General features: G+C 40.7%; 2 protein-coding genes across 4 annotated transcripts in view; both read right to left on the bottom strand.

The window, feature by feature from the left end:
• The window catches only part of ZNF610 (zinc finger protein 610), a 37,558-nt gene extending 32,757 nt beyond the window's left edge, over positions 1-4,801 (bottom strand). The window contains exon 1 of the mRNA XM_047438286.1: positions 2,924-4,801. The gene's annotated coding sequence lies outside the window, so the exon portion shown is untranslated. The remainder of the gene's footprint in view (positions 1-2,923) is intronic.
• A 4,298-nt stretch (positions 4,802-9,099) lies between these two features.
• Positions 9,100-14,364, bottom strand: part of ZNF480 (zinc finger protein 480) — a 28,754-nt gene continuing 23,489 nt past the window's right edge. For all 3 annotated transcript variants that reach the window (NM_144684.4, NM_001297624.2, NM_001297625.2), the window contains one exon: positions 9,100-13,443. In NM_144684.4, the coding sequence (NP_653285.2) occupies positions 12,164-13,443 (1,280 nt within the window). In that variant the 3' untranslated portion in view covers positions 9,100-12,163. The remainder of the gene's footprint in view (positions 13,444-14,364) is intronic.

Here is a 14,364-nt window from a genome sequence, read left to right as displayed (position 1 = left end):
ACCCGGCCCAACTGTTGCTTTTAAAAAAACCAATAACTTTAAAAAATAGATGTAAATTACATTGTGTGTGTGTGTGTGTGTGTGTTTGTTTTTGAGACAGAGTCTTGCTCTGTCACCCAGGCTGGAGTGCAGTGACACGGTTTCAGCTCACTGTAGCCTCTGCCTCCCCGGTTCAAGCGACTCTCCAGCCTCAGCCTCCCAAGTAGCTGGGGCTACAGGCTTGCACCACAGTGCTTGGCTAATTTTTGTATTTTTAGTACAGACACGGTTTCACCATGTTGGACAGGCTGGTCTCAAACTCCTGACCTCAGGTGATTCTCCTGCCTGAAAGATTGGTGCAATTTCTCTGTTAAATCATCTTATATGTTTCATCTTACATTCTGTTTAGATTTTCTGTCTCTACTACTGTCAAAATTGGTAGAGTACATTTTCCTAGAAAATTTGTTTCATCTGTGTTTCCAGTCAATATTCATTTAATTTTATAAATTACTTTATTTTATTTTATTTTTGAGACAAAGTCTCACTCCAATACCCATGCTGGAGTGCAGTGGCGCAATCTCAGCTCACTGCAACCTCCAACTCCCGGGTTCAACCAATTCTCCTGCCTCAGCCTCCCGAGTAGCTGGGACTACAGGCACGTGCCACCATGCCTGGCTAAGTTTTGTATTTTTAGTAGAGACGGGATTTCACTAAGTTGGTCAGGCTGGTCTTGAACTTCTGACCTCGTGATCCACCTGCCTTGGCCTCCCAAAGTGCTGGGATTACAGGCGTGAGCCACCAAGCCCGGCCTAAATTAGTTATTTAAAAAACTAATACACTTTATTTTAGAAGATTTATAGATTTATATTTAAAAAATTCAAAAAAGGTAGACAAGTTCCATATACCCTGACCCGTTTTCCCTATTATTAACATCTTATACTAGTTTTGTATGGGTTTTACAGTTTATAAACCATTGTTGATATACTACCATCAACTTATTCATAATTTATTCTGATTTCTTTGGTTTTAACTCATGTTCTTTTCTGCAGGGAGCTGAAGGCCTGTGGGATGTGACCAAGTTTATGGAGTTTAATCTGGCAAACAGTCTTGAAAACAGTGACTCCATAGCTGGAGAACTCAATTTAGGACTCTTTTAGCAAGCACAAATCAAAGACTATCTGTAATCAGTAGGTTAAGACAGTCATTCATGCATAAGTTTTTCACTACACTTACATACAACTTTTCTTCACTTTCTGAGAAGGGCACAGCATTTTTACCTTTTAATTTAACAAATACCATTTAATTAGGTTTAAAGTTCTCCTTTAAAGAGTAATGTGTGGTTTTACATGCCTAGCTTTTAATTACTCTTTAACTAATTCATGGGCCCTCTGTAATCTCTCTCCCTTCAGAGGTTACTATTTTACTTAAATTGAATTTGGAAAGCTACGTCAGGGATAGAAGAGAGGTAACAACAGTGACCATTATTAGAAAGCAGGTTTTTCAAATTCTTACATTTTACTTAAATCTTAGCAGAGAATCATAGCCTGGGACGTAACACATGAAATTTTGCTACGGGCTGCCCACAGAGCCAGAGGGCAGCGGTGCAGGTCCTGGGAGGCAGCCATGTTGTACTTTCTTAGGCTTTGCCTGTGTCTGCGCCGGTCCCTCCCTCCTTTGCCAGGGGGATGTTGCCAGCCTGGGCAGGCCTTGTCGGCTTGGTTACCGGGAGCTTTTCTGCTGCTGAGCCTTTTCTTCCACCTACTGCCTGCTTGGCTGCGCAGTTTCGGCTTCTAATGCGTTTTTTCTTATCTTTTTATAAACATACACCTGATTGCCTTGCCGATTTTGCATTACTGAGCAGGTTAAGAGCTCTCCTTCTAATGTTGCCTGCTTAACACAGGGACTGATAGCTGTAGTGTATCCTCTGTCCTTTGTCCTATCTATTGGAAGAGGAGGCTTAGGTAAGACTTCCATTTCCTCTTTGTTATTTTGGCCTGATGATACTGGGGCTGAGGGAAGAGGAGGTGATAAGGCAAGTGATGTTTTCTCCTCCTTCCTCTTTTTAGGCTCTTCTGTGTGTAACTGAGCAAAGGCTGATCTAATTAAAGCCCGTAACATTAAAGATTTTATTGGACCTGATGCCTTTGCGCCTGATGTTAAGATTTCTCCTCACTTGTTCTCAGAGTTCTACGTCTAGCATTCCTTCCTCCAGGAACCATGGGCTTTGTACTCCGTTATTGACCACACTAGTTTTTAATTCCTTCAACAACTTAAATTCTAGTGGGGTGTGTTCATGAATAAACTGCTGTGGATTATATGGATCAGGTCTTACGGAAATAGGAAAAGTGCAAGGTCCTAAGGGCTCTCCAGCTATGACAGCAGAGCATAAAATTCTTTGTATTAGGGTCTCTTATTTCTGCCACCGAAGGTGGTGGTACAAATGTTTCTGCAATTGGAGGAGGCTGTATAGCCCAATTTTTATCCTCCTTCTCCTGTTTTTTATTTTCAGTTGGAGCTGTGGGTAGAGCAACATATTCTTTCAGATTTTTAGATTCAGCTTGCTGTCCCACAGAATAAGAAGATGATAATGGCAGAAATACAGTACAAACTGAACTCCAAGTGGAAAAAACTGAAGAATCAACTTTAAAACCTTTTTGATGAGCCTGTTTCAATCCATCTCCTGCTCTATCCCAGTTTTCCACATCAAGAGTGCTTGCCTATGGAAACCATGGGTTACGCATAATAGCTTTTTGGGGCTTCTGCAGGAGGTTAGTTAGTGTCTGCAAATTAACCTGAGCTCCAGACTGTCTCAACAGAACTTTACAACTGCAAATAATGTTTCTTCAATAGACAAATTATTCCCCTTGTTACCCTGATTCAGAAAACTTCCCATTCCCAGTACTTCTTTAAAGCACTGCTCCCAGTACCTCTTTAGGGCACTGACCTTATATCCGCTGCCGGCAGACTCGTCCCGGGGTCCTTGTTCACCTTGTCAATTTCAGTTCCTCTGCTCCAGCAGACCTTCTTCGTTTATGTCCTCATAGTCCCGAGTTTGGATGCCACTGTCGCTGTTCAGGGTGCCACTTCGTGATGCCACTTATAAAGCACCCAATTCTGTCCCTGTTCAGGCGCCACTTGTAACCCACATGGACCTAGGGGGATTGAACAAAGGGGGCAAATGTGGAAATAAAAGACAAGAGAGTATATTTGCCTCTAGTGGACAAGGGCTCTGAGCTTTACACAGCCCTCCATATTTATTAGGCAAAAGAGAGAGCGAGAAAGGCAGGGTGATTGTCAGGTAATTGTCAGTCAGCCGTTTGGTTCACAGCAGGCTTGCAAGACTGCATCCTTTGAATAATAGGTGCTAGATTTCTCATTAGATAACTTCAAGGAGCCCGGTGCAAGGGAGACATGTCCCTCAGCAAACCTTTTGGTGGCAGGGAAGTGTGAGTTTGCCCATATCCTGCATTCTTGATAAACAGTTTGCTGTTTGATCATATAGCCTCCAGAGGAATGCTGAGTTGGTCACGTCCCACAGGCCTTCGGCTCCCTGACCTTTTCTCTGCCAGGATCCTGTCCAGGCCACCACATTAGATTTAACCATTATGTGTCTTTAGGCTCCCCTTGGCTCTAACAGATTCTCAGACTCTTGTTTTTTATAACCTGGTCAGCTTTGAGGAGTACTGGTTAGGTAGCAGGGCTGTCAATGTGTTATTGGGGACTGCCACTCTATTGGGATTTGTCTGATGTTTTCCATGATTAGACAAAGGTTAAGTATACTGGGGAGAAAAACCAATGAGAAGTGCCATTTTTATCACATCCTATCAAAGGTGTATACTATTAACATTACTTAATCCCCTTTGGATGTCAACCTTGATCACCTGTCTGAGGCTGTGTCTGTCAGGTTTCTCAGCTATAAAAATCCTCACATTCTCTCCCTGCCATATTGTATTGTTTAAAAGGAAGCAGCACTGTGCAGCCTGCATTTGTGGAGTTGGGAGTTATGTGTATTCCACCTCCTTGGAGGTGGAGTGTCTACAAGAGTTATTTGGAATTTTTCTGCATAGGAGTTGGGTCTCTTATCTCCCAATTATTTATTTAATCATTCATGTATATCAGAAAGTGCCATTTAATGTTTCAGACTATCAATTATTGACATCACATTCTTCATTTCACTCTTAGTGCATTAATAGATCCTTCTTGGTCTCTTCATGGTATCCCATTTGCCTTCCCATAATCTAGAAGGGGTCTGGAAGCATATGGTTCTCAGAGTCAGGAAAAAGTTAGATTTTGAGCAGAACTCAAGGAAGCAGAAGGTCGCGTGAGGTGTACAATTTGCTGAGAGTCCCTCATGGCTCAGACCTCAGCGTGTCCTGCACTCTCCACCTGAGCCCCTGTCTGCTTCCAGGGTCCATGGAAATAAAAAAGCCTCTTCTAAATACTGCATTAGTCTCTTTGGAGATGCTCACTAGACACTGTAATTGTTTCTGGTAATTGAGAATGGAAACAAATTATTAGAAAAAATATTTTTGACTTTCCTAGCATGCACTGCAATTTTGCTAAAGGTAAACTAATAACTGTGGTTCTTCGGGGAGGTGAGGTCGCAGAATCACAAACCTTTATCTCAGGGCCTGGCTGTCTCCCTCTCACAGATATACTGGCTGTTATAACCTTCACACTGAGCCCACCATCCTGGGAGCAGAAAAGAGTCTGGTGAGTATTTTCTATTTTGTTCTGAGAGGCGCATCTGTGAAGGTAAGGAGGCCTTCAGGAATCTGGAGAAGTGCTTATGTCAGAAAATTCTTCATAAAAACGGGTCCAGCTGGGTGTGACGGCTCACACCTGTAATCCTAGCACTTTGGGAGGCCGAGGCAGGTGGATCACAAGGTCAAGATCGAGACCATCCTGGCAAACATTGTGAAACCCCATCTCTATTAAAAATACAAAAATTAGCTGGGTGTGGTGGCGTGTGCCTGTAGTCCCAGCTACTTGGGAGGCTGAGGCAGGAGAATCACTTGAACCCAGGAGGTGGAGGTTGCAGTGAGTTGAGATCACGCCACTGCACTCCAGCCTGGGTGACAGAGTGAGACTCCATCTCAAAAAAAAAAAAAAAAAAATTTTAAACTAGTCCAGAGCTACATCCCAATGAGTTGCTGAAATAATCTGGAGCACTTGGTCCTCCCGTCTATACAAATCCCTAATACCTCTGACAGTAATTTAATGTAATCCACACTTGTGGTGATGGTTGATGTTTTATTCTATACTATTATCTGATATTTAAATCACACTGCAATTGTAGTTGTGAAGTTTATCCAGCCTACAAAAATTACAAACATGATTTTCAGGATAATAGAGGTGTCAGTATAGAGCCTCTTTTCATGTCATGATGAATAAATATAACTATGTGACAATTATATCAAAAAACTGAATGTCTGAGAGGCAATGGCTGCAATATAAATAACTTATTTTTTTTCTGAAAGGTGGGCATATCATATGCTTCATGGATACAGTACTATCCACAGAAAATATCTGAGGTCTGCTGATTATAGTGAAACTATTATCCCTCTTGGCCTTAGGCAATATCTGTTTGTAGAAAAGTTAGCATTATGATGAGTTTCAGATGAAAAAAATCTGGGAATTGGCAGTTTGCAGGTTCAGATGTATCTTGTGATAGTTCTCTGTTAAAAAGAAAAGAAAAAAAAAATCTGGTGGATGGTGGCTCATGCCTGCAATCCCAGCATTTTGGGAGACCAAGGTCGGAGGCTCCCTTGAGCCCAGGAGTTCTAAACCAGCCTGGCAACATAGCAACACTCTGTCTCTACTAAATAAATAAATATTAGCCAGGTATGGTGGTGCACGGCTGTGGTCCCTGCTACTTGGGAGTCTGGGAGGCTGAAGCAACAATGGATTGTGTTCACGCCACTGTACTCCAGCCTGGACCACAGAGAAAGACCCCATCTTAAAAAAAAAAATCTAGATGCCACTTTTAGTGTTTGTCTTTTCCTCATTTTTTTTTTTTTTTTTGAGATGGAGTCTCACTCTGTCACTGAGGCTGGAGTGCAGTGGCGTGATCTTGACTCACTGCAACCTCTGTCTCCTGGGTTCAAGTGATTCTCTTGCCTCAGCCTCCTGAGTAGCTGGGATTACAGGCACCCACCAACACACCTAGCTAATTTTTTTGTATTTTTAGTAGAGATGGGGTTTCACCATGTTGGTCAGGCTGGTCTTGAACTCCTGACCTCATAATCTGCCTGCCTCGGCCTCCCAAAGTACTGGGATTACAGGTGTGAGCCACTGCCCCCAGCCCAGTCAATTTCAATAATTACATTATTCCTAAATTAAATATTCCTTCATTATTAATCCATTATATGATATGTAATCAGTAATAATTTAACTTCAGTCTTACAGTATTTTGTCTCTTAACATGTTTCAGAAACCCATTACTTAGCCTAACATATTATGGTACAAAGACCTCCATCACTTTAAAATGGCAAAGGACATCAGTGAAAATAAGTAGTCATGCATCACATAATGATGTTTTGGTCAACTACTGACCACATATACAATGGTGGTACCATAAGATTACAATGGAGCTGAAAAATCCCTAATGCCTAGTGACACTGCAGCCATGGTAACATCACAGCACAATTACTTTATTTTTAAAAAATAAATTTAGTATAGCCTAAGTGTACAGTGTTTTGTTTTTTTTTTTCTTTTCTTTTTTTTGAGATGGAGTCTTGCTCGGTCACCCAGGCTGGAGTGCAATGTCATGATCTTGGCTCACTGCAACCTCCGCCTTCTGGATTCAAGTGATTCTCTCACCTCAGCCTCCTGAATATCTGAGATAACAGGCATGCGCCGCCACACCCGGCTAATTTTTTTGTAATCTTAGTGTTCACAAGGTTTCACCATGTTGGTCAGGCTGGTCTCAAACTCCTGACCTTGTGATCCAGCCATCTCGGCCTCCCAAAGAGTTGGGATTACAGGCGTGAGCCACCGTGCCCAGCTGTGTACAGTGTTTCTAAAGCCTACAGTAGTGTGGAGTGTGTCCTAGGCCTCTACATTCACTCACTACTCCTCACTGTCTCACCCAGAGTAACTTCCAGTTCTGGAAGCTCCACTCATGGTAAGTGCCCTATATAGGTGCACTTTGTTTCTTTTATATGGTATTTAATGTGGGGTGATCTTGGCTCACCACAGCCTCCACCTCCCAGGTTCAAGCAATTCTCCTGCCTCAGCCTCCCGAGTAGCTGGGATTACAGGCAGGCACCACCATGCCTGGCTAATTTTGTACTTTTAGCAGAGACAGGGTTTCTCCACGTTGGTCAGGCTGGTCTTGAACTCCCAACCTCAGGTGATCTGCCCACCTCAGCCTCCAAAAGTGCTGGGATTATAGGCATTAGCCACCACGCTCGGCCTCATATGGTATTCTTATGGTAACTTTTCTATGTTTAGACACAGAAATACTTTCCATTTTACTACAATTGCCTACAGTATTCAGTAGTGTAACCTGCTGTACAGGTTTATAGCACTGTGCCTGTCAGGAAAAAGGTTTGCTGAACACAGTAAGTAGGATGACTGATACATAGTTTTGTTATTCTCTGCTCACCTCCATGCTGTCTAAATCAAACAATATTTAACCTGAAAAGGCAATGTCCTTCTTCCAGGAAACTGGATAGAAATGCTCCCCAGCTAATAAAATCAGCCCTGTCATGCTGTTGATTCTTTCCCAGAGACCACAGTGAAAGGCCTGTAGGAAAAGCACATAATGAGAGTTTTAAGTTTAGGCTGAAAGTCATAAAGAGTAAAGTAGCCTTTCCAAAACTCCCAAGGAATTAAATATTTTAATAACCTGAATAAAAATCGCAATTTCCACATACCCTTGCATCATGAGGCTTGGTATCTTTTGGCTTGTAATTTTTCTGCAACATGCTATGTCATATATTAATACGGAAGTACTAGAGACTGAGTTATTTCTTCTGTAAATGCTCAGTGCTCTCATGTTCAATAGTTATGGTCCTTGATTAATACCCTTTGCATCCACAATCCACAATCCATCTTTATGGTTTTGTTTTGTTTTTTCCCGAGACAGAGTCCCACTCTGTTTCCCAGGCTGGAGTGCAATGGCCCAATCTCAGCTCACTGCAACTTCCACCTCCTGGGTTCAAGTGATTATCCTGCCTCAGCCTCCCCAGTAGCTAGGATTGCAGGTGCATTCCACCATGCCCAGCTAATTTTTGTGTTTTTAGTAGAGATGGGGTTTCACCATGTTGGCCAGGTTGGTCTTGAACTCCTGACCTCAAGTGATCCGCCCACCTTGGCCTCCCAAAGTGCTGGGATTACAAGTGTGAGCCACTGCGCCCAGCCTATGGTTTCCTCAAAGATGTATGTGTTGACGTCCAGTGACTTGGTGGGGCTGGATAAAGCCTGTGTCACATACATTTATATGATTTCTCTCTAGTACGACACTCTGGCGCTGATTAATATAAGAACTCATAATGAAGAGTTTTCCATACTCTATAAGGACTCTCGTGAATGAATTATCTGATGCTGTGGAAGGTGTGAATTCTGATTAAAGACCTTACCACGCATGTTGCATTTGTAAGGTTGCTCTCCAGCATGGATTCTGTGATGATTTGCAAGGTTTGAATTCTGAGTAAAGACCTTGCCACATCTTTTTTGTTTGTTTTTTGAGACAGAGTCTCACTCTGTCGCCCAGATTGGAGTGCAGTGGCTTCATCTCTACTCACTGCAGCCTCTGCCTCCCAGGTTCAAGTGATTCTCCTGCCTCAGCCTCCTGAGTAGCTGGGATTACAGGTGCATGCCACCATGCCCAACTGATTTTTGTATTTTTAGTAGAGACAGGTTTTCACCATGGTGGCCAGGCTGGTCTTGAGCTCCTGACCTCAGGTGATCCACCTACCTTGGTCTCCCAATGTGCTGGGATTACAGGAGTGAGCCACTATGCCCAGCCCCATATCCATTACAACTGTAAGGTTTCTCTGCATTACAGATTACCTGATGAATATTAAGACTTGAAGGCACACTAAATGCTTTGCTACATACATTTGTAAGGTTTCTTTGCAATATAAATTCCTTGATGTTTTACAAGGTGTGAAATTTGCTTTTTTTCATGTTTTATTTTAGGTTCAAGGAGTATGTGTACATGGGTCAACTGCATGTTGCAGGAGTTTGGTGTACAGTTAATTTTGTCCCCAGGTAATCAGCATAGTACCCAACAGGCAGTTATTCAATCTTCATCCTCTTCCCAACCTCCACCCATAAGCCCGTGTCTACTGTTCCCTTCTTTGAGTCCATGTGTAATCAATGTTTAGCTCCCACTTATAAGTGAGAACATGGGATATTTCATTTTCTGTTCCTGCATTAATTCACTTAGGATAAGAGCCTCAGCTCCATCTATGTTGCTGTAAAGGACACAGTCTTGTTCTTTTTTATGGCTGCATAGTATTCCATGGTGTATATGTACCAAATTTTCTTTATCTGGTCTACTGCTGATGGGCATTTACGTTGATTCCACATCTTTGCTATTGAGAATAGTGCTGCAATGAACATACAAGTGTTTGTCTTTATGGTGGAATGATTATATTCCTTTAGGTATACACCCAGTAATGGGATGCTGGGTTGAATGCTATGTTCTTTTATGTCTTTGAGAAATCGCTGCAGTGCTTTCCACAATGGCTGAATTAATTTACATTCCCACCAGCAGTGTATAAGTATTTGCTTTTCTCTGCAGCCTCACTAGCATCTATGTTTTGATTTTTTAATAATACCCATTCTGATAATACCCATTCAGACAGGTCTGAGATGGTATCTCATTGTGGCTTTGATTGCATTTCCTTAATGATTAGCGATATTAACCATTTTTTTCATATGCTTATTGCCACATGTATGTATTCTTTTGAGAAAGGTCTATTCATGGCCTTTGCCCAGTTTTTAATGGGGTTGTTTTTCTCATTGTTGATTTGTTTGAGTTCTTTATAGATTCTGGATTAGATCTTTGTCAGATGCAGTTTGTAAACATTTTCTCCCATTCTGTAGTCTGCAAATAGCTTCTTTTGCTGTGCAGAAGTTATTTAGTTTAATTAGGTCCCACTTGTCAATTTTTGTTTTTGTTGCAATTGCTTTGGGGTGTTCATCATTAAGTCTTTTCCAGCACTTATGTCCAGAATGGCATTTCCTGGGTTTTCTTCTAGGAATTTAATACTTTTAGGTTTTATATTTAAGTCTTTAATCCATCTTGAGTTGATTTTTGTATATCGTGAAGGATAGGGGTCCAGTTTCAATATCCTGCATATGGCTAGCCAGTTATGCCAGCACCACTTATTGAATGAAGTTCTTACTTCATTGCTTGTCAGTTTTGTTGAGGATCACATGGTTGTAGGTATATGCCTTTATTTCTGGGTTCTCTTACCTATTCCATTGATCTATGTGTCTTTTTTTATACCAGTACCATGCTGTTTTAGTTGCTGTAGCCTTGTAGTATGGTTTAAAGTTGGGTAGTGTGATACCTCAAACATTGCTCTTTTTGCTTAGGATTGCTTTTGCTATTTAGGTTGGGCTTTTCTGGTTCCAAATAAATTTCAGAATGTTTTCTTCTGATTCTGTGAAAAATGCCATTGGTAGTTTGATAGAAATAGCATTGGCTCTGTAAATTGCTTTGGGCAGTATTTTAACAATACTGATTCTTCCTATCCATGAGCATGAGATATTTTTCAATTTTTATTGTTTCTGATTTCTTTGTGCACTGCTTTGTAATTCTCATTGTAGAAATCTTTCACTTACCTGGTTGGCTGTATTCCTAGGTATTTTATACTTTTTGTGGCTACTGTGAATGGGATTCCATTCTTGATTTGGTTCATAGCTTGGACATTACTGGTGTATAGAAATGCAACTAATTTTTGTACACAGATTTTGTATCCTGAAACTTTTTTGAAGTTGTTTATCAGATCTAGGAGCCTTTGGGCAGAGACAACAGGTTTTCTAAATACAGAATTATATCTTCTGCAAGAGAAACTGACTTCCCCTCTTCCTATTTATATATGCCTTTCATATCTTTATCTTGCCTGATCACTAAGCTTAGGACTTCCAGTACTATGTTGAATCGGAGTGGTGAGAGTGGTCATCCCTGTCATTTTCCAGTTCTCAAGGGGAATGCTTCCAGCTTTTGCTTGTTCAGTATTAATTTGGCTGTGAGTCCAGCATAGATGGTTCTTATTGAAGTATGTTCCCTCAATGTGTAATTTGTTGAGGGTTTTTAAAATGAAGGGATGTTGAATTTTATTAAAAACCTTTCTGCATCTAAAGAGATGATCATGGTCATGTGGTTTTTGTTTTTAGTTCTGTGTATGTGATAAATCACATTTATTGATTTGTGTATACTGAACCAACCTTGCAGCCCAACACTAAAGCCTGCTTGATAATGTTGGATTAGCTTTTTGATGTGCAGATGGATTTGGTTTACTAGTATTTTGCTGAGGATTTTGGCACCTATATTCGTCAGGAGTACCAGCCTGAAGTTTTCTTTTTTCATTGTGCCTGTCAGGTTTTGGTATTAGAATGATGCTGGCCTCATAGAATCAGATAGGGAGGAGTCCCTCTGCATCCATGTTTTTGAACAGTTTCAGTAAGATTGGTAACAGCTTTTCTTTATACATCTCGTAGGCTTCAACTATAAATCTGTCTGGTCCAGAGTTTTGTTTGATAGATTTTTAATTAGTGATTAAATTTTGGAACTCATTATTGGTCTGTTCAGGGATGCAATTTCTTCTTGGTTCAATCTTGGGGGGTTATATCTTTCAAGGAATTTATTAATTTTTTCTAGGTTTTCTAGTTTGTGTGCATACAGGTGTTTATAGTAATCTTTGAGGGTTTTTCGTATTTCTGTGGGGTTGGTGGTAATGTCCCCTTTGTCATTTCTGATTGTGTTTTTTAGATCTCCTTTTGCAAGGTGTGAAATTTTTTTGAAGACTTTTCCACACATTTATTATAATTGTGAAGTCTCTCCAGTATAAATTCTCTAATGAGTTATTAGAAAAACTTGTGTTTGAAGACCTTGTCATATTCTTTACATTTGCAAAATTTCTTTGCAGTATGGAATAAAAGATGGGTAGTAAGGCTTGAGTGCACACTAAATTCTTTGACGCATTTGTTGCATTTGTAGTTTCTATCCCATATGAATTGTCCAATGTTGTGCTAGGTATGAAATGCGACTAAAGGCCTTGCCACACTCATTACATTTGTAAGGTTTCTCTCCAGTATGAATTTTCCGATGTCGTGCAAGGTGTGCAATTCGATTGAAGACCTTGCCACATTCATTACATTTGTAAGGTCTTTCTCCAGTATGGATTCTCTGATGATTGGTTAGTGATAACTTGTGTCTGAATGCCTTGCCACATTCACTACATTTGTAAGGCTTCTCTCCAGTGTGGATTACAAGATGGGCTGAAAGGCCTGAATACTCACTAAATGCTTTACCACATTCATTACATTTGTAAGGCTTCTCTCCAGTATGAATTCTTCGATGTCGTGCAAGATTTGAAAGTTGATTAAATACTTTTCCACATTCATTACATTTGTAAGGTTTCTCTCCTGTATGAATTCTCCAATGTTGTGCTAGGTGCGAATTTTGAATAAAGACCTTTCCACATTCATTACATTTGTAAGGTTTCTCTCCAGTATGAATTTTCTGATGTCGTACAAGGAGCGCAATCCTATAGAAGGCCTTGCCACATTCATCACATTTGTAAGGCTTCTCTCCAGTATAAATTCTCCAATGATTTGCTAGAGATGACTTATGACTGAAGCCTTTACCACATTCATTACATTTGTAAGGTTTCTCTTCAGCATGAATTCTTTGATGTCGTGCAAGGTAAGAATTATTACTGAAGACTTTACCACATTCATTACATTCATACGGCTTCTCTCTGGTATGAATTCTTTGATGTCGTGCAAAGTTTGAATTGTAACTAAAAACCTTGCCACAGACATTACATTTGTAAGGTTTCTCTCCAGTATGAATTCTACAATGTTCTGCAAGGTGTGAATTGCGACTAAAGACCTTGCCGCATGAATTACATTTGTAAGGTTTCTCTACAGTATGGATTACTTGATGTTTAGTAAGGCTGGAAGATACTCTAAAGACTTTGCTATGCTCATTACATTCATAAGGTTTTTCTCTAAGGTGTACTTTCTGTTCTTGTGGGAGAAATGAAGAATCATCAAAATCATTCCTATTAAAAATGGGGGTTTTGACACTGGAAGACATTTCTTGAAGACAGGAAACAGAGGAACTGTGGTTGATAAAGTTTTCAACTTGATTACATCCATTTATTACCCTTTCATCTGGAAATAGCTCCAGTTCAGACAGATGTAAGTGAAAGGATACTCCAAGTTGTTTTTTAATTGGTTTGTCTTCTGCATTGCTTCCCAATGCATAGCTGCTCCCTAGGAAAGCAAGAAAAAAGTAAAATTCAGACCCCATAATTCTGGCATGTTTAGAGTCTGATGAAAATACTAGAATCTGCCTCATCTGACTCAGACATTGGAAGAAATATCAGCACACTTTGTACATCACGCTGGTTGTGCTGAAAATAGAAAAGGGTAAGGTGATGCACTGGAGTTCTGGGAAATCTGTAGGAGTCAGGAGGATTACAGGTGAGTTTGAGAGGGATTATGAGTAGAGAGATAGAACAGGAATTGAAACCTTCTGAGAAAAAGAAGGGACAAGTCTCTAGGGAAAATAAGACACTCAAGAGAAGCAGTATACATAATAACAGTACATGCACAAAGCTAGGAAAGGCACATCCCCAGAAAAGGAGTGAGTGTTCCCACACCCTTTACAACAGGCTAATTAGAAAAGATCTCCCTCTGACCAAGTCTTATACAAAACAACTGAGAGAAGCAGTTATTTTACCAAACCTAATCCAAAAATTACAAGGCCTATGAAAGGAAAGAGAAATATGGCTAAAAAATAAATAAAGCCAAACCTAGAAAAAGACAGGCAGCTCTCTAAATTACTAGACAAATATTTATTTATTTATTTATTTAAGACAGGGTCTCACTCTATCGTCCAGGCTGGAGTGCAGTGGTATAGTGTAGCTCACTGCAGCATCTACTTCCCCAGCTCAAGCGATCTCTCCTGCTTCAGCCTCCTGAGTAGCTGGGTCTACAGGCATGCACCACCACATTCAGCAAGTTTTGGGGTTTTTTGTTATTTCTTTTGTTTGTTTTTAAGATGGAGTTTTGCTCTTGTTGCCCAGGCTGGAGTACAATGATGCAATCTCAGCTCACTGCAACCTCCACCTCCAGGTTCAAGCAATTATCCTGCCTCAGCCTCCCGAGTAACTGGGACTACAGGTGCCGGCC

This window comes from Homo sapiens, chromosome 19 (assembly GCF_000001405.40).
Source record: "Homo sapiens chromosome 19, GRCh38.p14 Primary Assembly".
Classification (NCBI taxonomy): Eukaryota; Metazoa; Chordata; class Mammalia; order Primates; family Hominidae; genus Homo; species Homo sapiens.
This window is presented reverse-complemented; position numbering and strand designations above follow the sequence as displayed.